The sequence below is a fragment of the Homo sapiens genome, chromosome 12, assembly GCF_000001405.40.
Source record: "Homo sapiens chromosome 12, GRCh38.p14 Primary Assembly".
Taxonomy (NCBI): domain Eukaryota; kingdom Metazoa; phylum Chordata; class Mammalia; order Primates; family Hominidae; genus Homo; species Homo sapiens.
Genome location: NC_000012.12, coordinates 53,043,189 through 53,067,430, shown reverse-complemented (window position 1 = coordinate 53,067,430; position 24,242 = coordinate 53,043,189). Strand labels below are relative to the sequence as shown.

Here is a 24,242-nt window from a genome sequence, read left to right as displayed (position 1 = left end):
CCAGATGGGACATTCCAGGCCTCTGAGCTGGTCCCCCCGTGCCCTTCCTGCAGACCCTCATTTCCTCATTTTCTTTTTTCTTTTGCTGCTTGGTTTCCTTGGCTTTCTTTAGAAGAAAACTGAGCCTAGAGTTCCTCGACCCACCTCCCCCTGCCTGCCCTCCCTGGGTGTTCATTCCTTCCCTAGGGCCCCCTCCTCTGACTCATTTCCTAAGGGTTCTCCCTTACCCTTACCTTGAGCAGATGGATACTACGTCTCTTTATTTTATTTGGTGCCCCCTTCCCATATATCTCGCTCCAATTTTTTTTTTTTTTTTTTTTTGAGATGGAGTCTCACTCTGTCACCTAGACTGGAGTGCAGTGGCATGATCTTGGCTCACTGCAACCTCTGCCTCCCAGGCTCAAGTGATCCTCCCACCTCAGCCTCCTGAGTAGCTGGGACTACAGACGGGCGCCACCACGCCCAGCTAATTTTTGTATTTTTAGTAGAGATGTTTCGCCATGCTGGCCATGCTGGTCTCAAACTCCTGACTTCAGGTGATCCACCCTCCTTGGCCTCCCAAAGTCCTGGGATTCCAGGCGTGAGCCACCGCGCCCGGCCTCTCTCTCCATCTTTGTTTCCGCCCTGACCCTTCCCTTCCTCTGAGGGGTGGGAAGTGTTCAGCTTCATGAGCCACTCTGGGGGTGTGGTGTCAGCCCTCCTTCCTCAAGTGTTTGTCCTTTCCCCTCCCTCCAACAGACGATGGGAAGATCTTCCATGGCAGTGGTGTGGGGGACCCCTTTGGGCCACGCTGTTACAAAGGGGACATCATGGGCTGTGGAATCATGTTCCCCCGGGACTACATTTTGGACAGTGAGGGTGAGTGGGGTAGGGGTGGCCAGCCAGGCTGCTTGGGGCCGAGGGTGGAAAGGCACCACAGGAGCTCAGGTTTCCTGGTCTCCTAGGGGACAGTGATGACAGTTGTGACACAGTGATCCTGTCTCCGACTGCCCGGGCCGTCCGGAACGTGCGGAATGTCATGTACCTGCACCAGGAAGGGGAAGAGGAAGAGGAGGAAGAGGAAGAGGAAGAGGATGGGGAAGAGATAGAGCCGGAGCATGAGGGCAGGAAGGTGGTGGTGAGTACGGAGAGTTTGAGGTGGGACCAGGGTTTTTGGGTCTGGGCAAAGGGTGGGTATTAGTGGGGAACAGAACTCACAACCAGGGTGGGAAAGACGGGAAGCTCTGGCGTTGCCCAAGGGCTGTTCCCAGCTCCAGGGGTTGCTGAGATCGGGAGACGGTCTTGGGAGGCTGTTTTCCGGCCTCAGCACGCCCTCTGGTGGTCACTTCCCATAACACCTTAACTGCCCCTCTCCAGCCCCGCTGGAAGCTGGGGTGATTGGGGTTCAGGCCTGTGGAGCTCCAGCATCCTCAGGGAAGAGGCCACAGCCTGCTTGCTCCATTCTTCTCCCCACCTCCTCCCCAGGTTTTCTTCACTCGGAATGGCAAGATCATTGGGAAGAAGGATGCTGTTGTTCCTTCTGGAGGCTTCTTCCCCACCATTGGAATGCTGAGCTGCGGGGAGAAAGTCAAAGTAGATCTGCACCCCTTGAGTGGCTAGGGCCTCCCCTCCAGACCTGCTCCTTCTCCCTGCTCACCCTCTGCTGGGCCAGGCACCCAGTTCCTGACTTCCCAGAGGCTTCGTTTACCCAGCAGGCCCCTGGAGGTGTGTAGTCACTCTGCCCCCACTGGCTCAGGCCCCTGTCACGCTTCTCTGTGCCCACGTTTCTGACCTGGTGCTGCCACTGTTGTCAGTCCCTGGGCCTGAGTCCCTGGTTGGACAGGAATGGACCCAAAGAATGGTGTTGGTATGTGGGTGGTCCCACTCGCTTTGGTCAGTGGGCTTCTGGGTCCCCCTTTCCCTCACCGGCCCTGTGTGGGTGGAGAGGCGTGAGCACCCTATCTCAGCTGCTATTCGGGCATGATGCTTTGTAGAGGGTAGAGTAGACAGCCCCCTCCCCTACTCACCATGGTATTTCTCCTTGAATTCCTCTTTCTTGTTTTCTTTCCTGGTTGTGTGAACCAGTTGCTGCTGTCATACCCCTGGCAGGGCCAGGGGACCTCTCTTTGGTCATCTCTGTCCTTTCACTGGCTGCTGCCCCAGGAAGACTCCTCTAGGCTCTCCATCTTTCCCTTGAGAGCTGGCTCCCCACCCCAACCTGCTCAGGCACCACAGAGGATCTAGGTCTCTGGCTCCCCATACCTGGACCCACATGGGTGGGTGCCTGTTGCATGTTTAAGAGAGAGGGGCTGTGAGGTGACAGGGCACTAGGGCCTTCACTCCTTTCTCCCCTTCCATCCTTTCTTTACCAGTGCCACCCATGTCCCTAGCTCCCGGGTATTGGGGCTGAGGCTCTGGGGCCTGTCTCCCTGCCAGCGTGAGGGCAAGACCCCAGAGCCTTAGCTGAGCAAGCCCAGAGGGGCAGCGTGGCCCCTCCCTCCCCTTTTCCTGCCCCGTCCCATGCCTCAGCTTGCTGCTTGTGCCAGTTGCCTGTTTCGCTTCAGTGTTTGATTCTAGCACTTACATGTGTCCTCCCCACCAAGCCCTCTATCTCCTTCTAATCCTTCAACCCCTGGCCCCCTCCCCGTAACAGTGACTTTTCCAGGGAGGAAGAGGCAGCAGGAGCTGTTGGCCTTGGTTTGCACAGAGCGGGTAGGGCTGTAGGGAAAGCGGGTGAGCTGTTGTGCTGCTGGGCCTCCCTTTGGCCCTCGCTTCCCACCCTACGATGTATGAAATGTATGTACAGACCAGAGATGTTTATACAGCCGATAAAGATGGAGTTTCCGTATTTATCAGTATGGCCGGAACCAGGAGCCTTTCTAGTCCACTGGGCTAGGAACAGGACTGCTGGATGGGGGCAGCCGAAGGCAGCTTGCTCATGGGGAGATGTGGACCAATGTTGGGCCAGGGATGGGAATCATATGTTCCATGGGCCTGGCTACAGGCCTGAGCACAGATACGTCCCCTGGGAGATGAGGCTTTGACCTTCCTGTGAATAAGTGTTGACTCCAATTTCGGCTAAAGTTTATAGAAATTCTTTATTATTAGACAAAAATAGACTCTCTTTTTTCCCCTATTCATGTGATCCTACTCTGAATCTCTGCTCAGAGGAGGCAGTGACTCGCTCCCCACCCCTCTCCCATCCCTGCCGTGCTGGCACCTGCAGCTGGGTGGAACTGGCAGGGGCTGATCCCCTGGAGGGCTGACGTTCTCCTGCAGGTGGGGCTGCCTGATCTCCTTCGGGGCTCAACTGCTGATGCCTCCTCACCCCTCACACACCCATCTCTGCCATCTGCTCACATGCAAGGTCATCTTGTGGGCCTGTCCACTTAACTTAGCAGGCTGGGGGCGGGGAAGGAGAGCAGTGTCCCAGGCCTGATGCCCACTCCTCATTCCTAAGGGAGGGTGCTTTCTCCTGGGTCTCCTGGGTCCAGGCCAGGGGATGTGAGGGCTGTGGGGTGCTGGGAGGGGGGCAGTGTTGATGTGGGCTCTGAGCTTGTGGCCTTCCTTCATTTTCTCTGGCCCAGTAGAACTTTGGTGATGAAGGTGACAATGGCGCCAGCAGGCTGATCTGGGTCAAGCTCTGCAAAGAGGTGACACACATTCTCCCAGGGGCTTCCCGGCTTCTTGGCCACGAAACCAAAGATCCTAGGGGGATAAAGGGTGGGGAAGGGGCTTAACATTCCTTCCACAAGGGAATGTAGCTGGCCTTGGTGAGACAAATCAAATGCCAGCATTGAGAGGACAGCAGCGCCCTGGTCCCTTGGAAGGAAGAGGCTGAATTCGTGGGGAGGCTTACTTGGAGGTGGTCCCGTCTGGGTTGGTCCATCTGCAGAAGGAGAAGAAGGTGAAGATGCACACCCCAGGGGACAGCTGCTGAAGGGGGGCCGGGGCCGGGGCTGGGGCTGGGGCTGGGAGCTGGGACCTGGTGGGACCATGGGGATTTGGGGCAAAGGGTTTGGAGGGAGAGTCACCTCCGGTCTTGAGGGTCAGTGCTGGAGAAGGTGATGCTGTTCACTGGATAATGGCGGCGAAAGAAGAGCCTGCAAGGAGGAGGGTGAGGAAGGTCACACTCAGAAACATGAGCCCCCAGGGGCCTTAAGCATGGGGTTCTACAGGGCTGAGTATACATACTTCCTTTGGTTGTCCGTCAGTGTAATGCCCTGGGCTGACACCTTGAAGTGGACAACAGCTGGTGTCGGGCGGGGGCTACAGCTCAGAGCTGCAGAGCTGGCCCGGGCCACAGCTTGGGGGCCCGTCAGTGACTCTGTCTCCACTGAGGTCAAGTAGAGCACGCTGCAGGCTACAGGGGCAGGGAGTGGGTCAGGGAGGGAGTGCCCATCCCCTAGCCACCCCCACCAGCTCTTGCACATTCCCCAGCTACTGCTGTCACATGCTTTACAATCACATAGGTGACTTGTTAAAAAGGCAGATTCCATGACTCTACTGGATCTACAGTCAGAAGCGAGGCAGAGAAGCCTCCCTGCTACCACCCCATGATCGTCTTGTTCATGAGACTTTGAGAACCTAGGCTGAGGACCCAATTCCTCATCCCCGACAGTATGGGGCTCCCCTGCCCTCATGGGTTGGCCAGGGCTCACCCACCTCAAGGCCTTTCAGTGCCCCATGCCCTGTATCCACAATGCCCCCTTGGTGCCCAGGGAGAGGGAGGGGAGTGGAGGGGAAGTCTCTACCAGCACCCTGACGCAGGAGGTCTGCCGCTGTGCTCATGTTGGTGGGCACTGGAGCCTCTGGGGTCTCTTCCAGAGGATCTGAGGGCAATGAGAACCGACAGGGAAGCTCAGAAGGCAGAGTGTTCCCCAGGCTGGAGCACTCCCTCTGCTTCCCCAAGGGAAGGCGGGGAGCCAAGACCTCTGGATCCTGCTTTGGCTGCAGGGGGTAGGGAGAGGTGGGGAGGACAGATGACCAGACACTCACCTTTGCTGGGAATGCGCAGGCAGCAGGGCAGGGAGATGGGGGAGATGGAGTGCTGGGAGACCAAGGCGGACAGGCTGCCTGTGGGAGAGGAGGTAGGAAAGTCCCGAGATGCCCAGGGTGCCCCGCCTTTCCCTTCCATCCTCCTGAGATCCCTTGGCATCTCCCTAAACCGACCCAACGTAGCCTTCCCCAGGCTCCTGCTTCTCACCAAAGTAGGGCTCACTGGGGCAGCCCTTGATCTTCACCCCTTTGGGCCCAGTCTCGATGAGGAAATGGCGGACCAGCTGTTCCACGGGGTCCCCTGAGAGGAGGCGAGGGGAAGATTGCGGCTTTAGGATTCCAGGTTCCAGCTTCTTCCCTAATGGGATTCTTTCCCGAGCAGCTGAGGTCTTTTCCTACCTCTCCCCTCTACAGCGGCATGGCCAGCACAGCACCCCCACCTGCCCTGTTACCTTGCCTCTGGCACCACCCCCAACTTCATCCCCACCCCACTCAGGTTTGGGTGTTCTGTACCTTTCCAGGGCTGGGCACTGGGTGGCGGTGTGGCCACCTTGAGGGCCAGCCCATAAGCTCCTTGGAATGAATGACTGTCCCTGATCAGGAAGGCCCCAGGGTCCTTGTCCTTCAGCAGGGCAATGGCTGCAGGGTGAGGGGTAGCGGGCAGTGGGGAGGAGTTTTCACAGGGGTGGACTGAGCCCCATGCAGCCCCCCTCCTCTGCTGCCAAGCTCCATGGTCTCTGCCCTGACAGCTGTGGTGGCGGTAAGAGTCTGAGGCCAGGGCTCTAGAGTTCACAGGGGTTTTGACCATGTTGGATCTCACCGCCTTGGCCCAAAGCCCAGAATCACCTGCTGGTAAACACTCAGCCAAGAGTAAACACAGCTCAGACAGGAGGAGCCAAGAGCTTCAACAGGATGGGACTTAAAGCCAAGACAGACACCCTGGAAGGTGGGATGCAGTGGGGTGGGGGCAGGCTGGCTTCTCACCTTGGTCACGGGACAGGTGTGGCTTGTACCAGAACTTGGATGTATCCTGGACAAACTTGACATTGCTTTGGCTCTCTTGTGTAGGAGGCTCTAGGACAGGGAGGGAGTAGGTTCAGACCCCAGGGTACCCGGGTCCCCATCCATGCTACATCCCAGGAGAAAGGGTTCTCTCAAGGTGGCACCAACCCCCTCAAGGCCTTTATACCTGGGGTTTGGGGGACATTATCTGAGAGCAGAGGTGCGAAGGTGACATGGTGACTGATGCCTCTGGCTGGCGATGATGCCTGCTCTGGGCCCCAGGGTCCTGGCTGTTGCCCCGGCCCGGGCAGGTGGCGTTTCTCAGGAAGTGGGGGCTGGCTAAGGCCATTGGTGTCATAGGAGGCAGCCAGGGGGAAAGCAGGTGTAGGTGAGCTCTGAGGCGGCTCTGGGCTGGCCACAAGCCAGGGCATCTGGGAAGGCACAGGAGTGAGGGGAGACCCATCTGGGCTGTCGGGGGGGCCTCGAGGGCCTTGCCAGGGGGCGTGGCGGAGGCCAGGAAGTGTGGTGGGCACAGGGCTCCGAGGACTGGCGCCATCTGAGTGGCCCCCTGGACTCCTTTCCTGAGGCCAGTCACTGGGCGAGCTGGGAGGGAAGGTCGGAGAGACTGGGCTAGGGGCCAGAGGCTCAGGCCCACTTCCCGACGGCAGCTCAGGGGCCTTTCCGGTGCCTGCCTGGGAAACAGGGGGCAAGGCCTCGCCAGGACTCAGTCTCTGAGTGGGCGCTGAGGTGGGGGACCTGGTGTCCTGTCGCCGGGTGCTGTAGGGTGGAAGGGCAGATGGTCAGCAGAGCCCCCATTGTGGCTGCTCCCACCCCACCTGCCTTCATCAACTGCTTGGACAAGAAAGCACTCGAGCATCCCCGGCCCCTCTGCATACCTTTCCTTGCCCTGGACTGGACTGCTGGTGTGCAGGGGCGTGGAGGGACCAGACAACTCTGACGAAGCACTGCATGGGGCATCTCGGGGAGACCGAGGCAGTGTGCTGTGCCCACTGGGGCCCTCCCTCCAGGACACCGGCTCCAGCGACTCTGCAGTGAAGGGGAGAGGTGGGCTGTGAGCAGGATGGGGCTCTTCTGTCTGGCTTAGCTGTTTCTCACCCTGTTCCCCCTTGACTTCCCCACCATCTTCCAGAACCTCCTCTGCCCTGGGCACTCCGCACTCTGGTGCCCCTCACCTGCAGATGCCAAAGGTCCTGCTGAGGCCAGGTGCCCAGGCAATGGGTACCTGTCCCCTCCCTCCTCCGTAGGGATCTCGTAGCTCAGCTTCCTAGATTGTGGATAGGGCGGGCTGCCCGGGGAAATGGAGCCAGCCCGTGGGGAGTGGGCACCAGGGCTGGGATACCCTCTGCCCTCTCCTGGAGAGCCACAGCTATGAGGCACACGGCCATATGCTGGGCAGTAACTGGGAACTGCTCCTCCATAGCTGTATGTCACCAGGGCAGGGTACCCTGGATGCCCATACCTGCCTTCGGGGCACATGGTGTAGGAGCAGCCCTCGTGCCCTTCCTCGCCTGCCTTGGGTGGCTTCAGGCAGCTGTAGTCAGGCATCGGGGCATGGTGATGCCCACAGGCAGGCAAGAGCAGAGGCAGCGGGTGCCCAGGCCGCACTGGGTGCAGGAGAGGCTTGCCAGCCTCACTTGCCCACCCTTCTCCAGCCTCCCTCTCCAGCCGCAGTCCATACAAGGCTGCTGTAGGCAGCGCCAGCTTCTCCTCGCAGGCTGGGCATGGGTATAGGGCAGGCAGCCCAGGGTCCTCCAGGATGACCACCTCCCGGTAGCCTGGGGCGCGGTAGCCAAAGTCCCCAGTGGCTGGTTTCCCCATCTCAGGTGGGTAGGGGTATAGCCCCTCTGACAGCGATCGGCAGAGGCGCCTCTTCTCCATCGAGGCCTCGGCGTAGCCCTGGGGGGATCCCTCATAGCCCCCGTAGGCCAGTCGCCTCCTCTCCAGGGTTCCCTCTGGCCGGTAGTAGCCCCCATTGGGAACCCCGCAGGGCTCCCGGTAGCCCTGGCGGCAGGAGCAGTGGCGGCTGAGGCCAGGCCTATGGCCTGGATACACTCCGAGGTGGGGGCCTCCGCCCACAGTGGGCTGCTCTTCGTCATCTAGGATGGCCGTCTCGCGCCCAGCTCCCCGGCCCCCACTGGCCACTCCGCAGCCTCCTAGGAGGCGATCCAGCTCCTGCCGTTCAGCAGCTGTAGGGGGCGGCCGGCCAGGGGACTCAGCAGCCGGCTCTGTGGTCAGCGTGGAGGAATGGCCTGAGTCGCTGCTGACAGAGAGCATGGGGGGTGGTGGAGGCTCTGGAGAGGGTGCCGGGGGGGTCTGCCGGGGAGGCCGCTGCACCTGGGCATAAGGACTGCCATCCAGGGGACCCCGGGTGTGGGTCAAGGAGCCTGAGTGGGGAAGAGGATCAGGGAGGGAGGGCAAGCGGGGAACAGGGAGGGAGAGAGAAAATTCATGAGAGGGGATGGCACTGGAGACAGCTGTCGGGCCGGGGGTGTCTCTCGGGAGTGGGCTCTGCCTGGGGAGGAGGGAGTGTGCTTCTCCCTGGCACCACCCCCCAGGGTCCCGCCACAACCCTGTACCTCCCACCCTGCAGGCTGCCTGCGCACCATCCACACTGTCCTCGTGGTGCTGGTTGAAGTTCTCATAGGAGTCCCAGCGCACGGCTGGCTCAGTGGTGTTGTAGTCGACAGAGACCGAGGGGTCGTTCCGTGGAGTGCTGCCTGTGGAAGGCCACTCGGGTATTGGGGAGCAGGGGAGAGGCGGCCCTCAGTCCCCAGCCCATGTCCCTGCTCTTACCTTTGATCTTCTCGGGGCTGGAGGAGAAGACAAACTCCACGGAGGCTTGGAAGGGGAACCTCTCATCTATGGGGAGTGGACAGTGAAGAACCAGGCCCCTGGCCCATACCACACTCTCCTGCCTGCCTGCCACCTGCCTGCCACCTGCCTGCCACCTGGACTCCAGCCCCAGGCCACTTGTCTCAGACTCACCAGTCCAGGCCTCGTCAAGCTGGTCCTTGGGGAAAGTGAGCTGTGGTCCGTGGATGGTGCAGGTGTGGAACTGGACTCGGAACACGAGGGTCCGGTCTGTGCCCCGGCCACCCTTGTGATAACATGTTACCTGGGAGAAAGGCAGGAGGCTGCGGATCAGGCCTCATGTCCTCTTCTGCGCTTCCACCCTGGGGACTGCCTGGTCACAGCTTCTGCCCTGCCTCGATCTCAAGGTGATCTCCCTACTCGCTCTCCAATCTGTCTCAAATTGGTGACTGTGCCGTTACACCACCAACCCCTGCCCCATCTCCAGGATTCTTCTTGTTGACAGGACCCCCCTCACCATGACATCGCCTTTGAGGAGGAGGGCTGGCTCCAGGCTGATGCAAAGCTGCTGGGGACCAGGGCCTGCAATGTGACTGTGGGGAGAGAGGAGAAGGCAGAGATGAACCAGAAGCTCCTGCGTGCAGAGGCAGCTATGCAGTCAGGGGGAGCCAGGAGACCAGAGTCTGAGCCCTGCCCAGGTGTCTAGGGAGGCTGGAGAAGCAGGAATGCAGGAGCAAGAGGGGCCCTGGTCATGAAGTGTCAGGGGCCTGGGAATAGAGCACTCACTAGACTCCAGATGTGTAGACAAGCTGCATGGACTGGTAGATTTTAAGGAAGGGCTGGAAGCCTGGAGGGGCAGAGGAGAAGGCACAGGAGGGGTGCTGAGTGGAGAGGGCCTGAAGGTGGTTCTCCCTAGGGAGCACATCTCAGGCAGACTCACCTGTGCCAGGTTCAAAGGCTGGCAGCATGGGGATGAGCACATAGTGCAGGAAGAGAGGGCTGCTGTTCATTCTGATGGAGCCAGATAGCAGCCCACTGAAGTAGCTGATATATCTGGTGGAGGGCGTGTCAAGGAGAACATAAGCCTTTTCCTCTGGAGGTCACCTTGTATCATTTCAACCATCCACCCTTAGAAGGCTCGCTCTTCTGCTCAACACTTCCTTCCCATCTTCCGGGTCACCAGAAAGTTCTTCCTTGCATCTAACCTCAATCCCTCCTGCTCCCCTCTGCCTCAAAGCTCTTTCCCCAGAGCTCTGCTTCACTTTATAGTGGCAGGCCCTGACTGTCCTTCAGGTTCTCTTTATGACTGATCTCCTCGTCTATTTATTCCCAGGTCTACTGCCTTCCACCCTACTAGCATGAAAGCTCCATGAGAGCAGGGGCTTTGTCCACTTTGAATTCTCAGCACCTGGCACGGCGCTTGGCACACTCAGTGAAAGTGTGCTGCATGAATAAGAGAGTCTTGGCCTTGGTAGCCATGAAGGGAGCTGCTCCTCTGGCCCATCCCCACCCAGGCTGCTCACCGACGCTGGGAGGGCTGCAGTTCTGTGGCCACCTTGTCCTCGCAGAATTTCCGCATGGTAAGAGTGGCCAGTGCCTGGTCCGCCCTGGGGATAGCAAGGCCAGTGTTGGGGATTAGGGATTAATCTTCATCCTGGCCTCCCATCCCTAAGCCCCAGGGGATGGAGGAGAAATATGATTCTCTAAGTCTAGAAGAAGCCCAGAGTAGTGGTAATGAGAATGAGAAGCACCATGTACAGTCACTTTACTAGTTGTTGGGCCTCAGGCAATTGTTCCCTGAACTTTAGTTTTTTCATCTGTAAAACAGGGCAACAAAACCATCTTATGGGTTGAATTATATCCCCCCAAAAGACATGTACCTCAGAATGTGACCTTATTTGGAAATAGGGCCGTTGCAGACATAATTAGTTAAGATGAGACCATACTGAAGGAGGGTGGACCCTGAATCCAATATGATTGGTGTCCTTATAAGAAGAGAGGAAGAGACACAGACAGAGACACACAGGGAGAACACCATGTGATGACAGAGGCAGCGATTACAGTGATGTGTCTGCAAACCAAGGAATGCCAAGGCTTGCCGCCCACCACTGGAAGCTAGAAAGAGACAAGGAAGGATTCCATCCCGAGTCTCAGATGGAGCAAGGGCCTGCTGACAGCTTGGTTTGGGGCTTCTGGCCTCCAGAACTGTGAGAGAGTACATTTCCACTGTTTTTTGTTTTGTTTTGTTTTTGTTTTTTTTGAGACGGAGTCTGACTCTGTCACCCAGGCTGGAGTACAGTGGCACCGTGTGGGCTCACTGCAACCTCCGTCTCCTGGGTTCAAGCAATTCTCCTGCCTCAGCCTCCTGAGTAGCTGGGATTACAGGCGCCCACCACCACGCCCGGCTAATTTTTATATTTTTATATTTTTGGTAGAGATGGGGTTTCACCTGGCCAGGCTAGTTTCAAACTCCTGACCTCAGGTGACCTGCCCACCTCAGCCTCCCAAAGTGCTGGTATTACAGGCGTGAGCCAACGCACCCGGCCCATTTCCACTGTTTTACACCACCCTGTTTGTGGCTGCCCCAGGAAACTCTACAGACCATCTGCTGCAGACTATGTTGCAGTACTAGTGATAAAAGGGAGGTGGAAGTGCTAAGCTGACAGCAAAGGACTCTCAACGAAGAGGTGGGCTCCAGGGGAGATGGGTTCCTAAGGGGCCAGCTGGAGAAAGGGCCACTGGGGAAGCAGCTACTCAGGCGCTGGGAGCCTCACCCTGCAGAGATCTTGCTGTAGTGCATGTAGGCAGAAACGATGACCCCAAGCTTGCCCTTGTTTCCCTGACAGACAGAGAGACAGGGATGAGGGTCTGGGAGCTCCAGGCTGACCTGGAACCTCCAGGCACCAGGGAACCCGAGGTCCTGGCCCACCTTGCAGTATAGTACGACCACGTGCTGTGGGTCAGCACTGAGCCATGTCTCCATGGCTTTGCAGATGGAGCACAGCTTGTCCAGGGGTGGAGCATGCAGCTCAGGCCAGCCGAAGTCTTGAACCTGGGGAGAATGCAGGGGTGCAACTGGGGCCGGGGGCCACCAACAGAGAGAGATGGGCAGGGTGGAAAGGGGACAGGGCATAGGGGTCCGGGGGCAAGGCTGGGGGTCTGCTGGTTGTCCATGATAGCCTCGGCACTTTCCTTATCCATACAATGGGCTGATACCTGCTGCATCACGTTTTGGGGTGTCTCCAGTAATATATCATGGGAGAGTGGGAAAGTGCTTAAGAGTGAAGTAGATGCCAATTGCTACTATTAATAACGAGGAAGCTGGGGGCTTCTGGGGTTGGGGTGGCTTGGTTTAATGGTTGGGCAGGCCATTTCCTTCATACCTTGGGGTTTAAGCGGGTCAGGTCATGCCTTTTCTCTGAAAGGTTGAAGAGCTGAAATAAAGGGGGAGGGCTTTAGACAGAAATGATCTCCGGCAATGAGGCACGAGGTGGAGGTGGATCCTAAGTAAGAATCTTCCTCTAAAATAAGGTGCAGGCCGGTCGCAGTAACTCACGCCTATAACCCCAGCACTTTGGGAGACCAAGGCGGGCGGGTCACCTGAGGTCAGGAGTTCGAGACCAGCCTGGCCAACATGGTGAAACCTCATCTCTACTAAAATTACAACAATTTGCCGGGTGTGGATCGCTTGAGCCCTGGAGTCTTGAGACCAGCCTGGCCAACATGGCGAAACCCCGTCTCTACAAAAAATACAAAAAAAAAAAAAAAAAAAAAAAAAAATTGGCTGGGCGTGAGTGACGCACGCCTGTAATCCTAGCTACTGAGGCTGAGGTGGGAGAATCGCTTGAGCCCGGGTGGAGGAGGTTGCAGTGAGGTGAGATCGTGCCACTGCACTCCAGCCTGGGCAACAAAGTGAGACCCCGTCTCAAAAAAAAGGTAAATAAATAAAGAAAATAAAAAGGTAGCTAAGGCCCGGCCTAGCCAGTCACAGCCAAGTCGCCAGCGTTCCAGGATTCTCCGCTCCGCTCCAGGCCGCGCTCCGGGCCCCGCCCCCACCCCACCACTCTGGTCCCGCCCCCTGGCGGCCTCGCCTCCGCTGGTGACGTCAGTGATTAGCCTCGCCCATCTGGACCCTACATCCCTCTCATTGGCGGACTCCTGATGGCCCCGCCCCTCACCAGGTACTTGTCCCGGTGCTTGGATTGCAGCACATGGGCCAGCTCGCGCAGGTGGCCCCGGTGCCGCTGTTCATCGGGCCGCGCGGGGAAGGCGGCGGCCAAGATGCGCTCCGTCACGTAGGTGAGGTCTAAGTCCCAGCGCCGCTCCATGAGCGGGTCCAGGCTGAAGCTCCTGGGGAGGAGGAGCCTACGCATGAACGCAGGGGCGGGGCACCCGGAGGTGGCTAGTGTGACGGGAAGGCTGTCTGTTGGGCAGCAGGTGAAGCCTGCTGGGTCCTGAGGGTGGGTGGATCGGTCTGGAGGGAGAATACCGCTTTGGGGGTGGGGGGCTGTCCCGGGGAGCTCTGTTGCGGGGCAGTGCCCTGGGCTGAGGTGTGGGGCCGGCGGAAAGGGGGTCACGTGGGACCACCCCAGCACCCTCACTTACCTGGGCAGAGTGCTGCGCTGCTTTGAGTGGTTCAGAGATTTGGTGGATCCCTGGTGGTTAACAGACAGTGTCTAGACATCTCTTTGGGTACCCCCTACTCTAGACTGCCCACTCCAGAGCCATGCCCTTTTTGTCTTCAGGAAATCTAGATCCTTACTCCCAAAGCTACCTGCTTCCCCCTCCTGCTCCAGCATCACCTTACCAGGTGCTCTATGCGCCTGACTGGGGCCGTGTTTCGCCGCTAGAGGGAGATGGGGGAGGAAAAGGGAGTGGTTAGTTACAGCAGGGGCAAGGACCAATGTGGGCCTTGGGGACAGGGGAAGGGAATGTCAGTGTCCTTTTGAAGGCTGTACTGGATAAGGGGAGAGGAGTCCTACCCCCAGCAGGCCCAAGGGCACAAGATCAGCAGAGGACTCAGACAGTTTTTTCTTTCCTCATAGGATGAGCAATACCCACAGCACTCCGTTCAAGGTCATCTCCTGGGGGCCCTCTCTGGAGCCACCAGACCTCTGGACACCATGGCCAGGTTCCTTGCCCTCCCCACCCCATCCCAGAGCGCACTCACCAACTCCACGGGAGGCAAGGCCTGACAGGCTGAAGTCACCTGGAAGGGGACCGAGTAAGGAACTGAGCTCCTGGTGAAGGGCTCTCGTGGGCTTGAGGATGGGGCAGCCCCTCAGCTTCAGGAGGAAGGTGGAGGGGCCTTCAGTGGATGGGCACAGGCTCCAGCTGAGGTTGCGCTATTTAAGGGCACCTCCCCTCTGGCCTCTTGGTCCCCCACCCCCCAGGCCCCCCACTTGTTGCTCTTGGCGCTCAGCCCCCAGCCCACACAGACCCCCATTCATCCAGCTGTAGGGCAGGAGTTATATATAGAGCCAAGCAGGCAGGCCATGGCCAGGGATGGACACTGGCTTCTTTCACCGGGAGACCCCGCCCCTGGGCACACAGCTCCCCCAAGCCAGCTCCAGGGCCCTGGGATCCTCCTCCCCCTGTCCTGAAGGAAGAGGACCAGGGGACCTCTTCAGAGACAGGGCTGTCTCAGGTCCCCAGTGGACAGTGGGTGCTATCCACAGCTTATACCTGGAAAGGCCCAGTTTTTCCAGGGCCCAGGACAAGACCCGCCCAGGCATTTTGAGGACCCTTCCCCAGAGGGAAGGCACAGCCCATCCGGCTGCCCAGTCTCTGAAATCCTGCTCCCCCACTCCCCACCCACCCCACCCTTCCTCCTCCTCATTCTCCTCCTCTTCCCCACCCCCATCCTCTCGCCAGCTGCAGTCTGGGCACAGCACCAAGACAAACGCTGTCTTGCTGTCCACCCGCCTGGGCTGGCCAGCCCTCCAGAAGGCGGAGTAGGGTGGTTCTTAAAGGGCCCAGTACAGCACCCCTCCCACCCAGGAGGGGTTCCCCAGTGGTGAGAGGGGTGGAGGTGGAGGGTTGATGCCAGTGTGGTTGCAGAAGCCTGTTTGGGAGGAGGAAGGGACTCCAGACCCTCTCCCCCTATCAGGTAGAATCAGATACCCACCTTTGCTTCACATTTTCTGTGCGTCGCCACCTTGCAGACTAGGGAAGGTAAGGGGAGGAGAGGGGTTAGCAGGGGCCTGTGGGACAGTGGAAGGAATGGCCTTCCCTCATCTCCCAGACCCTGGAACCAGACCCTGGGACTTCCAAGATCCCACCTGGACTGGGCTGGCTGGGGCAGAGGAGCAGGGCTAGGTTTTGAGGGAAGAGTGTGGCAGTGGGGTACTACTGCCCAGGCCAGGGGTAACGTTCCAGGGTGGGTGGAGGTGAGGAGGAAGAGAGGGAAGGAAGACTACCGTCACAAGTCAGGATGGGAAGGTGATGGAGAGTACTGGCTCTCCTGGGTTATGGGAGGTGTCTGTCATGGGGAGCCAGGGCCATCTGAAGGGGGAGGCAGCTGCTTCTTAGCTGCCATTGTGCCTAATCCAGGAGCAGCATATTACATTTGAGATTGTGTGAGCTGGCCTGCTGGAGTTGTGCAACACAGTGGTACTGGGTGGAGGGTCTCAGAGTCACAGGACAGAGAGCCTCACCTCTGCACGAAACGCCTGTCCCATCGATGGTCACCTTACATACTGCACAGACTGGAGGTTTCTTCCGGAAAACCTTCTCCCGGAAGCTATGAGGCTCAGCTTTCCTAGGCTGAAGGTGGAGGGACAAACAGAGGTGTGAGTTCCCAGTGGGCCCATCTCCATCTCCGGGACTGGGCAGGAGCCTTGCCTTAGCACTGCACTGGTTTTCTCCGTCCAGATCAAGCCCTCAAACTTGTAGGACGCACTTGGCCACAGCTGCTTCAGGGCGGTCATGGGGCCTGTCCTCAACTGTGCATGGAATCTGACCCCTTGCGTCACCTTTGCTGGGTCAGCTCCTCCCCAGGGGATCACTTGGGCCCCTCACATGGCCCTGGTGTGTGATGCCCTTGTGGAAAAGCCTCCATGCTCAGGCTTTCCCCCTGGTGTGGTAAGGGTACTCCCTGACTCTTCCCATCTTGTCCTCCCCGCATGGAGACCTGTGTGCAGAGTGAGCAGGGAGGTTCCAAACATATGTGTTGTATGTCAGTCCTGCAGCACCAGACTGAGCCGGCAGGAGTGGCCTCAGCCAGTCCTGCTCCTTTAGCTCCTGCTGTCCCCACGCTCCAGGCAGCTGACATGCCCTCCTCCCCCACGGTCAGAACAACATGTTTACTCATTGTGCACTGAGGCAGCAGACAGCAATTGTGTAATGGGGGTGGTCATGCTGGAGGGAAACAGATAGAAGCCTGTCACTGGGGAGAGATGTTTAGCTGGCTTTGGATGCTGTGAGTTCTCCCCCGACCCCCTGCACCCTGGCACTTGGGATTCACGCATTGAATGAGAAAGGAGTGGACCAGATTCCCTGTTCAGCCCCTCCTGACCCAGAGATGCAGTGAGGCAGGAGCCTGGGATGCCCCCTTATGGCCCAGGCCTATCTCAGTCCCTTCCCCTCCCACTGTGGGTTCTCTCCTCCCATCCTCTGTCTGGGGACAGCTTGTCTCCTTGCCATCTCTCTGTTTTACCCATATTCCCCCTCCTCTGGAGTTCAGACTCCTGCTGTCCTCCTCCCGGGGACCCATCACAGTAGTATCTCAGGTTGTCCTGAGCTGCTGCTTTTGGGGCAAGGCTGGGAAGTTGGGAAAGGGAGTGATGGGGATGTGGGCAGCACCTCTGGTTTCTTGACTGTCCCTGCAACTCTTCTGGGCTGGATCAACTTTGTGGGACCCACTAAGACACTTGGGAGCATGTTGGCATTAGCAGCAGATATGGATGTTGTCAGTGGAAAGCAAACCTCCAGTTCCAAAGCACTCCTGACTCCCTCTCCTCTCTCTTTTTCCACCCTGCCACCCCATTTCCCTCAAACTTCCCTGGGCCAGGGAAGGGGCCTGATGATCTCTGAGCCTGCTGGAGGATACCTGGATAGCGCATGGCAAAGTCCTGCAGTGAGGCACCTGGGGCTTATGTTGGGGGGCCAGGACCTCCTGGGGTTGGCCCAGGCTAGAGCAGGGAAGGTGAGAGGAGCCAAAACAGACAGCAGGACCTACTCTAACCCAAACATCCCCTCACACTACAGCCCTGGCCACTCCGGAGGGGATGCTGGGCCAGGGAAGAAGGCTGAGGAAGCTGAAATTGGGAAGAAGGCCTGGCCTGATTCCTGGTCCCCTCCCCCACTGCCCGCACCTCCACCCCTGCCCCTCTTTTGCCCAGCTGGTGGGCACTCCTACCCTGCTTGCGGCCCGGCTGCTGTCCCTCCTCCCCAGGGCTCTGAGCAGCCTCTCCACAGGGCCGCTGGACTTCATGGTGTTCGGCTGGCTGGGGTGCTGGCCCCAGGGCCTGAACAATGCTGGGGCCTGGCCCGGGGCTTCCTGGAAGCGGCCTGGCGGAGGCAGCCGCTTCCCCTGGGCGGAGGGTAGGCTGTCTGGCTGGTGTGAGGAGAAGCCCGGCCCTGGAAGTGGAGGGAAGTGCAGGCGGGAAGGGGGCAGGTCGCTGCTCCAGGAAGTGGAGGGGGGAGGATGTGGGGGAGGCCAGGAGATCAGATTCCCAGGATCTACCCTGCTGGGAGTGTCAGCCTGTGATCTTTTGCTCCCCCTACTCCCCCAACTCTGGAGTTGTCCCACACCTGGGACACCACACTCTCCAGGGATCTGCAGGGATCCATGGTCTTGAGATTCTGCCCCCACCCCCGGTGGGGCCGGGTGAGAATTCTGGTCTCGGGGCAGGGCTAAAGGGCAAGTGGGGAACAGTGTGTCCCAGCCAGGCTCCAGCCTGAACTCTCAAGCTCTCGAGGGACTTCCGCTGGGGAGGGAGTGGAGCTGGGAACTACTACCAGCAGGCAGGCCCAGGATCCCGAGTGTGTCCTGAGAGTCAGGTAAAAATGGGACTGGGGGCCCCCTTCCTGTCTCAGTTTCACTCGTTATGAAGTAGGAAAAGGAAAGCATGCACCGCCCACCTTTACCCTCAATACACCTTGCAAGGCCAAGTTCCAGCCACAAGACTGCTTTGCTCAGGTTTGGGGAGTAATCCATTCTCCTGCCACAGCCTAAGGCATATGAGGCCCTTCTCCTGAAAGCCCCCAGGTTTCTGCTCCTGACACAGTGCCCCCCACTCACCCATTCCCTGGCTTTGTTTCAGACATGATCTCACAGATCCCTAGCCCTCTTTCCAGCCCTGCAACTTGGGCTCTCTACCCAAGGGCTGCACCCTCCCCCCGCGGCAACCCCGAAGCCTGAGTACTACCTTCATGGCTCTCCTGGGTCTGCTCTCCTTCCTCAGCAGCTGTCCCAGGGCCTGAGGACTGGACAGGAGGTCCCCCCTCCCAACACATACTCCACCCCCATCCATGGGCCTCCGGCCTCCCTCCTGGGAACATGGCCAACTTCCCGTCCTGGGAGTCAAGGGAGGGAGGTGGATGGGGCCTTGAAAAAGGGGGAGTAATCTTCCTAAAAGCTAAGGGGTTAATGGCCTGGGAGTCTTCAGCCCCAAGCTGTGGACAGCAGCCCCTGGGACAGGCTATAGCTGTCACTTGAAAGAATGTGCAAATGTGCCCCTCTCATTTGCATGGTATTTATTGAATGTCCCAGTACTCAGGCAACTCCCCCAGCCCTGGCTTCTCCCACGGAGTCCCTTCTACTTGCTTCCTGCTCCTTCATATCCACCAGGATGGGTTCCCTGGGATGAAGAATCCTGCATTCTCTGGGGTGAGGCCTGCTGTGGGTGCCCACTTGAGACCCTTGCGAGGACCTGACTGGATTGGGCCTAGCCTGACACCTCTCCCTGGAAGCTCCAATTTTCCAGGCCAAGAAATGTGTCCCCAGGATATCCTGGCCAGAAGGTGGCATCTGTGTGGCAGGCCTGGGCTCCCTGCCTGTAACTGGAGAGGAGCACGGGCTCTGTGACCCACCCCCATCCTGCCAGCCTGGCTGTGTCCCAGCACATTCCAGGCCCCCGGCCAGTGTGGGCAACCGGGCCTGGCCTTGTCGAGCCCCCAGCCCTGCTTGGGGGAGATGGGGCAGTGTGACAAGGTGGGCAGTGGGGGTGGCTTTTTTCTGTCCAGTCCCAGCTTCTGCTCCTATGGCACATGGCCCTGACCAGGACTCCTCTACATGCTTCACTCTCCTGCTGCCTCCATAGGGGCTGAAAGTCCCCTCACCTGGAACAGGTCCCCAGACATCCTCTCACCTTCACTGGTCTCACACTCCCCACCCAGACCCAGCAAGGAGGTGCCCAAGCAGTGAGCTCGGTGAGGGGTGGGGTGGTCAGGATCCACTGTGGCTGTGAGTCCCTCCCATCCTGTGGCACTCGCACCTCGGAAGGGAAGCAGGGATGGGATCCCTATGAGCCAGTCCCGAGGGGAAAAGTAGCTCACTTGAGGAGGGCTGGGAAGGCATCACTAGACCCTCTTGGACCCTCACCCTCCTCCCGCCTGTAACATTCCAGAGCCTGTCAACCTCTCCCCCAGCCGGGCCCCCTCTCTCTCCGAAGTCTTGGGTTTGTTTGGAGAAACCCCTCCACCCACACCCCCCTTTCTGGAAATAGCTGTGGTTGGAAGGGAGGCTGGGAGCCCGGCCGCCGCGGAGGAGGGGTAAGGCCCAGGGAAGGAGCGAGGGAGGGCGGCGGCTCTGGGGGTGTTCCCAGAAGGGTCTGGAGGATGGGGGCAGACTGGAGGGGGCCGCAGAGCGGGGCTGGCGAGTCGAATCAGCCTCATCTGTGCCCGCTTACGGCCTCTGTCCCACATGTGAAGCAGGAAAGGAAAACGTTCGCCCGCACCCTGCCAGGCCGGGGCCCGAGCGCCGCTGCCAGCTGCTGCCGGGTCCCGGGCCTGCGTGTGTGGCACGGCGTGCGGCCCCGTGCGCCCCGGGTGCTGGAAGGCGTGGCGGCCTGATCGAGTAGGGCCGCGGCCGCGCCCCGCCCCCTAGTCACTGTCCCGGCCTCCCGCTGCTCCCAGCTCTCCGCGGCCAGCCAGAGCCCCCGGCCCCAGCCCTGGGCCGCGCCCCGCGCCCCGCGCCCTCTCGACCTCCGGCGGCCCCGCGCCCCCTGGCGCCCGCCCCTGGCACTGCCCGCGCGGCCGTGACGCAGAGACCGCCGCCCGCCCAGCGCGGCGCGGCCACTCACCTGCGGGGGGCGCCCGGCCGGGCGGGGGCGCGGCGGGGCGGGGCAGCAGCAGGGGGAGCCGCCGGGCCAGCCCATCCCGCCCGTGCCCGCGCCGAGCGGACGCGGAGGAGGAGGCGGTGGCAGTGGCGGGAGCGGGCGGCCGGGCTCGGCTGGGCTCCCTCCCGCCCCCGCCGCGCCCCGCGCCCGCGCCCGCGCCCGTGGCAGCCCGCTCCTCCTCCTCCTCCCTCCCGGCTCCAATCCCCACGTTCCGCCAGCTCCCCACCCCTCGGCCTCCTCTCCTCCCCACCTTCTCCCGCGAACCCACACTCACAAAGAGCCGAGGGGAGAGAGGGTGCGCAGACGGCCAGCCGGGCCGCGCCAGGGACATACTGGAGACAGGAAGTGGCTGAGAGGGGGAGAGAGTTGGAGAGAGACGGCCGCGGAGGACACGGGGACGGGAAAGTCTGAGAGACGGGGAGAGCCTGACCCGGCGGGACACAGGCAGAAAGAAACACGCGAGCCAGACAGACGCAGAAGAAACGGTGGGCGTAGGTCTAGAAGGGACTAGGAACAAGGGGACAGGGAACTGCCGCGCAGCGTCAGCCTCTTACCCTCCCCACAGGAGTGTGCCTGGGCTTGGGCCTGACCTGAGAGGACCACCCGTGGCTTAGCCTGGTGGTGCTAGCGTCCCCTACCCAGGCGGGCGCCTGAATCAGGTGAAGACACCTGGTGTTACTTTTGGCCCAAGTCATTGGACACCCTTCCCTGGTCCTCTGCCCCACAGGAGACTTCTCCTGGGCTAGTATTCTCAAAGGATTCACAGCTGGGGACCTTTCCGTCAGGCTCAAGCCCCCATCTCCACCCGCAAGCAGCTCCAGCCATCCCATCCACTGCCCTGCTTTATTCATTGAGACGGGAGTCTGTCTCTGTCGCCCAGGCTGGAGTGCAGTGGCGCCATCTCGGCTCACTGCAACCTCTGCCTCCCAGGCTCAAGCGATCCTCCCACCTCAGCCTCCCGAGTAGCTGGGACTACAAGATGGGCGCCGCCACGCCCAGCTAATTTTTTGTAGAGATGGGTTTTCGCCATGTTGCCCAGGCTGGTCTCCAATTCTTGAGCTCAAGCGATTTCCCCTTCTTGGCCTCCCAAAGTGCTGGGATTACAGACGTGAGCCACCGTGCCCGGCCCATTGCCCTATTTTAAAGAGCTGGACCGTCATTCCCAGTTCGCAGGAGACCTCTGAGAAGGTCTTCCTTACATTTAACTTGAGTCCAGCCTTTCCAAATGGAGATGGAAGTTCTTTCTATGGTCTGACCTCATTCCCTTCTTTTGCAGTGCCTGGTACTGGATAGGAACTTCATGGAATGGAGCTAATGGGCCGTAGGGCAGGTTTGAGTCGTGCCACCCTGGAGCAGAAGGTGGAGGGTAGGGATAAGGTAGGGGACATCTTCCTAGAAGTTCTGAACCTGTTGCCATTCCTACATTCCCCCAACGTCCTTTAGCAGTGAGCACTTCCTGAAACTTTCTCCCTCCTTCACCCTCCCTGCTGGATTTTCCATGATGAAAAGGGGCGGGGGGAAGGAAGGTTGGAATTCTGAGAACCCAGTGCCCAGGGCTCAATGCCCAGTGCTTGCCCAAAGTAGCCAGTACCACTGGCTCTAAGGCCTTCTTTCCCTCCCCGTCTCATCTCAACTGGGTCCCTTGTCTTTGGCAAAGGCTGAGAAGTCTGGTTCTCATTTCCAGGGGGTGGAGCACCTGATTCCAATCTTGCCACAGGGAAGAAGAGTCTGTGAAGAAGTGCGTGATGACTGTGTGTCCCCCCCCACCCAGAAATTGGCATTTGGGAGGGGTGGATATGGTTGGGACTGGGGAGCCTTGATCTTACTGCTCTTGGTTGAGTTGGTGTCCAATAGACAGTTTCAGAGGTTAGAGCAGTGGGAGTCACTGGGGACTGGGGACAGGAGAGGTGGGGGTGGGGGAAGCCAGGCGGGAATGAGTAGGGAGGCACTGGGAGGAGGGGAGAGGCAAGAGTTAGGGGAATACCGAGGAAAGTGGCAGGGATTGGAGGCTCCTGGAGAAAGGGCAAGGCTGAAGGTTGTCCCATGTATTTTGGCCAGATTTGATTATGTAATCGAGAATCATGAGATAATTAAGTGTGTTCATGTCTCTGGAGCCTTCAACCAGCTCTTTTAACATCTTGCTCTTCCCAGCATTCCTTAGGGTCTTTGGCTGGGCTCTGGGATGGATGCCATGGGAGTACCTTTACTTAAGCTCTAAAGTTACCAATGGAGAGACTGGGACTCAAAGAGGAACTTGATTGGACCCCAGAGAGGTGAGGGGTAAGGGCTAGAACCTCACACATGCTGGTTTTGCTGCTGCCTGGCAGGCCCATGGGAAGAACTTTAGAGGTTCCAAGGAATTGGAAAAGGGTCACAAGATGGGTGGCCAAACTCCCAGCTCAGGCTTGATTCCTACTCTCAATGTGGGGATAGTGGAGAAGGGGGCTGCAGGAAGGGCTGAGAAAAGCTGAGAATGAGAAGTTATACAGGAGGTAGCTTGGTGGGAGTGAAACAAAAATGAGTGGTTCATGGGCCAGCCAGGCATCCTGATTTCCAGCTCACAGCAGCAGGAGCTTCAGAGAGGAAGAAGGAGAGGAGGAGAAAGCCAGGTTGATGTTAGTAAAGGTCAAACAATTTCAGGAGCACCTCTGACCTCCCTCCACACAGGTTTTCTTACCTTGACTATGCAGAGGGTGGTCCATCTTGGCACTGAAGATGGAACCCCCTCTTCCATGGTCTGGGGTGACCCCATGCCTGTAACTGAATGTGCTCAGATCCTTGGGGTGCGGGGACTGTAGGGGGAGGATTTGAAGGTGTGGGACTGTCCTGGCTGGAGACCACTGGGTCAGGAGAACTCCAGTAGAGGGTTTGGGTGCTGGGAACCAGGAAGAGTGGGGGAAGGGGCAGAGCCAACTCCAGAGGCGGATCTCCTGGCTGAGGACAGAGGGTGTATTGTCCAAGCTGGAGGTTGCTGTAGCTGGGCGGGGAGCAGCTCAGCTCGTCTCTTCCAAATTTCTTTTGGGGGAGGGTAAGGGAAGGCAAGCCCCCCTTTACTTGTGGCCCTGGGGGCTACAATGGTTGCTGAGAAACAAGGCTTATTTGACAAATAATGCTTCCCAGGAGCAGATGTGTAGCTCTCTCACTTCCTGAGAAACCAGATGCTGTGAGCTCGCTTAGCACTTGAGGCGACGCCCTCAGCACGAACTGGGACCCTAGTGCCTTGGGATCCGGAGTATAGTGCTTGATTCTATTGAGAAGAAACGAGGCTAATGTGGACTGGGAGACACACGGGACCTAATCAGCCTCAAGTTAGCCCTTTTGAAGTAGGTTGCTGCACCTGCACTTTCCCCCTACTCGTCCACTAGTTCAAGATTTACAAGACGTTGACAATGAGGGCTGACCAGTCCTGGGTCCACTCCTGCAGCTGGGGGGCTTCTCGGTGGACCCACACTTTTTTTTTGAGACAGGGTCTTGCTCTGTTGCCCAGGCTGGAGTGTAGTGGTGTGATCACAGCTCACTGCAGCCTTGACCTCCTGGGTTCAAGTGATCCTTCCTCCCAAGTAGCTGCAACTATGGGCATACACCACCATACCTGGATAATTTTTCTATTTTTTTGTAGAGACAGGGTCTTGCCATGTTGCCCTGACTAGTCTCAAACTTCTAGGCTCAAGCGATTCTCCTGCCTCATCCTCCCAAAGTGCTGGGATTACAGGTGTGAGCAACCATTGAGACAAGAGTCTCGCTCTGTCACCCAGGCCGGAGTGCAGTGGTGCGATCCCGGTCCACTGCAACCTCCACTTCCCGGGTTCAAGCGATTCTTCTGCCTCAGCCTCCTGAGTAGCTGGGACTACAGGTGTACACCACCATGCCTAGCTAATTTTTGTATTTTTAGTAGAGACGGGGTTTCACCCTATTAGCCAGGCTGGTCTAGAACTCCTGACCACATGATGTGCCCGCCTTGGCCTCCCAAAGTGCTGGGATTACAGCTGTGAGCCATGGCACCTGGCCACACACGTCTTTTTAAATTTAAATGAGGATGTGGCCATATTACAGCCCAGGTTTTCTCTGACTTTAGAGTACCTTTTGGGACATAGGGCCTTCCTCTCTACCCTTTCTGTACACAGCCATCATAAACCTCTTTCAACAAGC

General features: G+C 58.8%; 2 protein-coding genes, 1 long non-coding RNA gene and 1 other non-coding gene across 12 annotated transcripts in view, besides 9 other annotated features; 2 read left to right on the top strand and 2 right to left on the bottom strand.

The window, feature by feature from the left end:
- The window catches only part of SPRYD3 (SPRY domain containing 3), a 15,075-nt gene extending 11,960 nt beyond the window's left edge, over window positions 1-3,115 (top strand). The window contains exons 9-11 of the mRNA NM_032840.3: window positions 739-858; window positions 945-1,117; window positions 1,465-3,115. Of these exons, the coding sequence (NP_116229.1) occupies window positions 739-858; window positions 945-1,117; window positions 1,465-1,599 (428 nt within the window). The 3' untranslated portion in view covers window positions 1,600-3,115. The remainder of the gene's footprint in view (window positions 1-738; window positions 859-944; window positions 1,118-1,464) is intronic.
- Window positions 991-1,492: an enhancer, noted in NCBI's record as "H3K4me1 hESC enhancer chr12:53459723-53460224 (GRCh37/hg19 assembly coordinates)". NCBI's record gives its function as "activates a minimal SCP1, AML or CMV promoter by ChIP-STARR-seq in primed H9 embryonic stem cells {active_cell/tissue: H9 hESC(primed)}" and the evidence as "EXISTENCE:reporter gene assay evidence [ECO:0000049][PMID:30033119]".
- On the bottom strand, window positions 3,052-20,440 carry TNS2 (tensin 2). Of its 9 annotated transcripts, none has more exons than XM_017019089.2 (29): window positions 20,368-20,440; window positions 15,468-15,576; window positions 14,939-14,976; window positions 13,982-14,020; window positions 13,619-13,657; window positions 13,417-13,466; window positions 12,990-13,161; window positions 12,195-12,245; window positions 11,741-11,863; window positions 11,586-11,650; window positions 10,335-10,418; window positions 9,752-9,864; window positions 9,598-9,658; window positions 9,329-9,404; window positions 8,986-9,115; window positions 8,794-8,859; window positions 8,577-8,717; window positions 7,173-8,384; window positions 6,876-7,026; window positions 6,167-6,756; window positions 5,962-6,051; window positions 5,491-5,616; window positions 5,186-5,278; window positions 4,978-5,055; window positions 4,734-4,811; window positions 4,174-4,342; window positions 4,014-4,082; window positions 3,839-3,868; window positions 3,052-3,687 (listed from the first exon to the last, which is right to left on the bottom strand). In XM_017019089.2, exons 1-29 carry the CDS (start codon window positions 20,422-20,424, stop codon window positions 3,549-3,551), a joined length of 4,239 nt encoding a protein of 1,412 aa, XP_016874578.1. In that variant the 5' UTR covers window positions 20,425-20,440; the 3' UTR covers window positions 3,052-3,548. The 9 variants fall into 9 exon arrangements, with proteins under 9 accessions (XP_016874578.1, XP_016874577.1, NP_001403131.1 ...); XM_017019088.2 differs by lacking the exon at window positions 20,368-20,440 and adding an exon at window positions 20,058-20,208; NM_001416202.1 differs by lacking the exon at window positions 20,368-20,440 and adding an exon at window positions 20,058-20,208 and having other exon boundaries at window positions 8,604-8,717.
- On the bottom strand, window positions 10,419-10,487 carry MIR6757 (microRNA 6757). Its single transcript, NR_106815.1, has one exon. It is a non-coding gene; the product is annotated as a microRNA 6757 (primary transcript).
- On the top strand, window positions 12,993-24,242 carry TNS2-AS1 (TNS2 antisense RNA 1). The gene is made up of 4 exons (NR_033854.1): window positions 12,993-13,110; window positions 13,857-14,035; window positions 21,370-21,470; window positions 21,778-24,242. It is a non-coding gene; the product is annotated as a TNS2 antisense RNA 1 (long non-coding RNA).
- Window positions 13,711-13,950: an enhancer, noted in NCBI's record as "active region_6402". NCBI's record gives its function as "activates an Ori minimal core promoter by ATAC-STARR-seq in GM12878 lymphoblastoid cells {active_cell/tissue: GM12878}" and the evidence as "EXISTENCE:reporter gene assay evidence [ECO:0000049][PMID:35858748]".
- Window positions 18,362-19,205: an enhancer, noted in NCBI's record as "H3K27ac-H3K4me1 hESC enhancer chr12:53442010-53442853 (GRCh37/hg19 assembly coordinates)". NCBI's record gives its function as "activates a minimal SCP1, AML or CMV promoter by ChIP-STARR-seq in primed H9 embryonic stem cells {active_cell/tissue: H9 hESC(primed)}" and the evidence as "EXISTENCE:reporter gene assay evidence [ECO:0000049][PMID:30033119]".
- Window positions 19,206-20,050: an enhancer, noted in NCBI's record as "H3K27ac-H3K4me1 hESC enhancer chr12:53441165-53442009 (GRCh37/hg19 assembly coordinates)". NCBI's record gives its function as "activates a minimal SCP1, AML or CMV promoter by ChIP-STARR-seq in primed H9 embryonic stem cells {active_cell/tissue: H9 hESC(primed)}" and the evidence as "EXISTENCE:reporter gene assay evidence [ECO:0000049][PMID:30033119]".
- Window positions 19,206-20,097: a biological region, named in NCBI's record as "H3K27ac-H3K4me1 hESC enhancer GRCh37_chr12:53441165-53442009".
- Window positions 19,508-20,097: a silencer, noted in NCBI's record as "silent region_4491". NCBI's record gives its function as "represses an Ori minimal core promoter by ATAC-STARR-seq in GM12878 lymphoblastoid cells {active_cell/tissue: GM12878}" and the evidence as "EXISTENCE:reporter gene assay evidence [ECO:0000049][PMID:35858748]".
- Window positions 20,168-20,237: a silencer, noted in NCBI's record as "silent region_4490". NCBI's record gives its function as "represses an Ori minimal core promoter by ATAC-STARR-seq in GM12878 lymphoblastoid cells {active_cell/tissue: GM12878}" and the evidence as "EXISTENCE:reporter gene assay evidence [ECO:0000049][PMID:35858748]".
- Window positions 20,748-20,797: an enhancer, noted in NCBI's record as "active region_6401". NCBI's record gives its function as "activates an Ori minimal core promoter by ATAC-STARR-seq in GM12878 lymphoblastoid cells {active_cell/tissue: GM12878}" and the evidence as "EXISTENCE:reporter gene assay evidence [ECO:0000049][PMID:35858748]".
- Window positions 20,878-21,067: an enhancer, noted in NCBI's record as "active region_6400". NCBI's record gives its function as "activates an Ori minimal core promoter by ATAC-STARR-seq in GM12878 lymphoblastoid cells {active_cell/tissue: GM12878}" and the evidence as "EXISTENCE:reporter gene assay evidence [ECO:0000049][PMID:35858748]".

Coding starts and splice junctions, on each gene's coding strand:
- TNS2 (XM_017019088.2), bottom strand. CDS start 20,132: ATGGGCTGGCCCGGCGGCTCCCCCTGCTGCTGCCCCGCCCCGCCGCGC. Junction 11,651..11,740: donor TGGTCGTACTATACTGCAAG/GTGGGCCAGGAC, acceptor TCTGTCTGTCAG/GGAAACAAGGGCAAGCTTGG. Junction 9,865..10,334: donor CTGCAGCCCTCCCAGCGTCG/GTGAGCAGCCTG, acceptor GCCCTCCACCAG/ATATATCAGCTACTTCAGTG.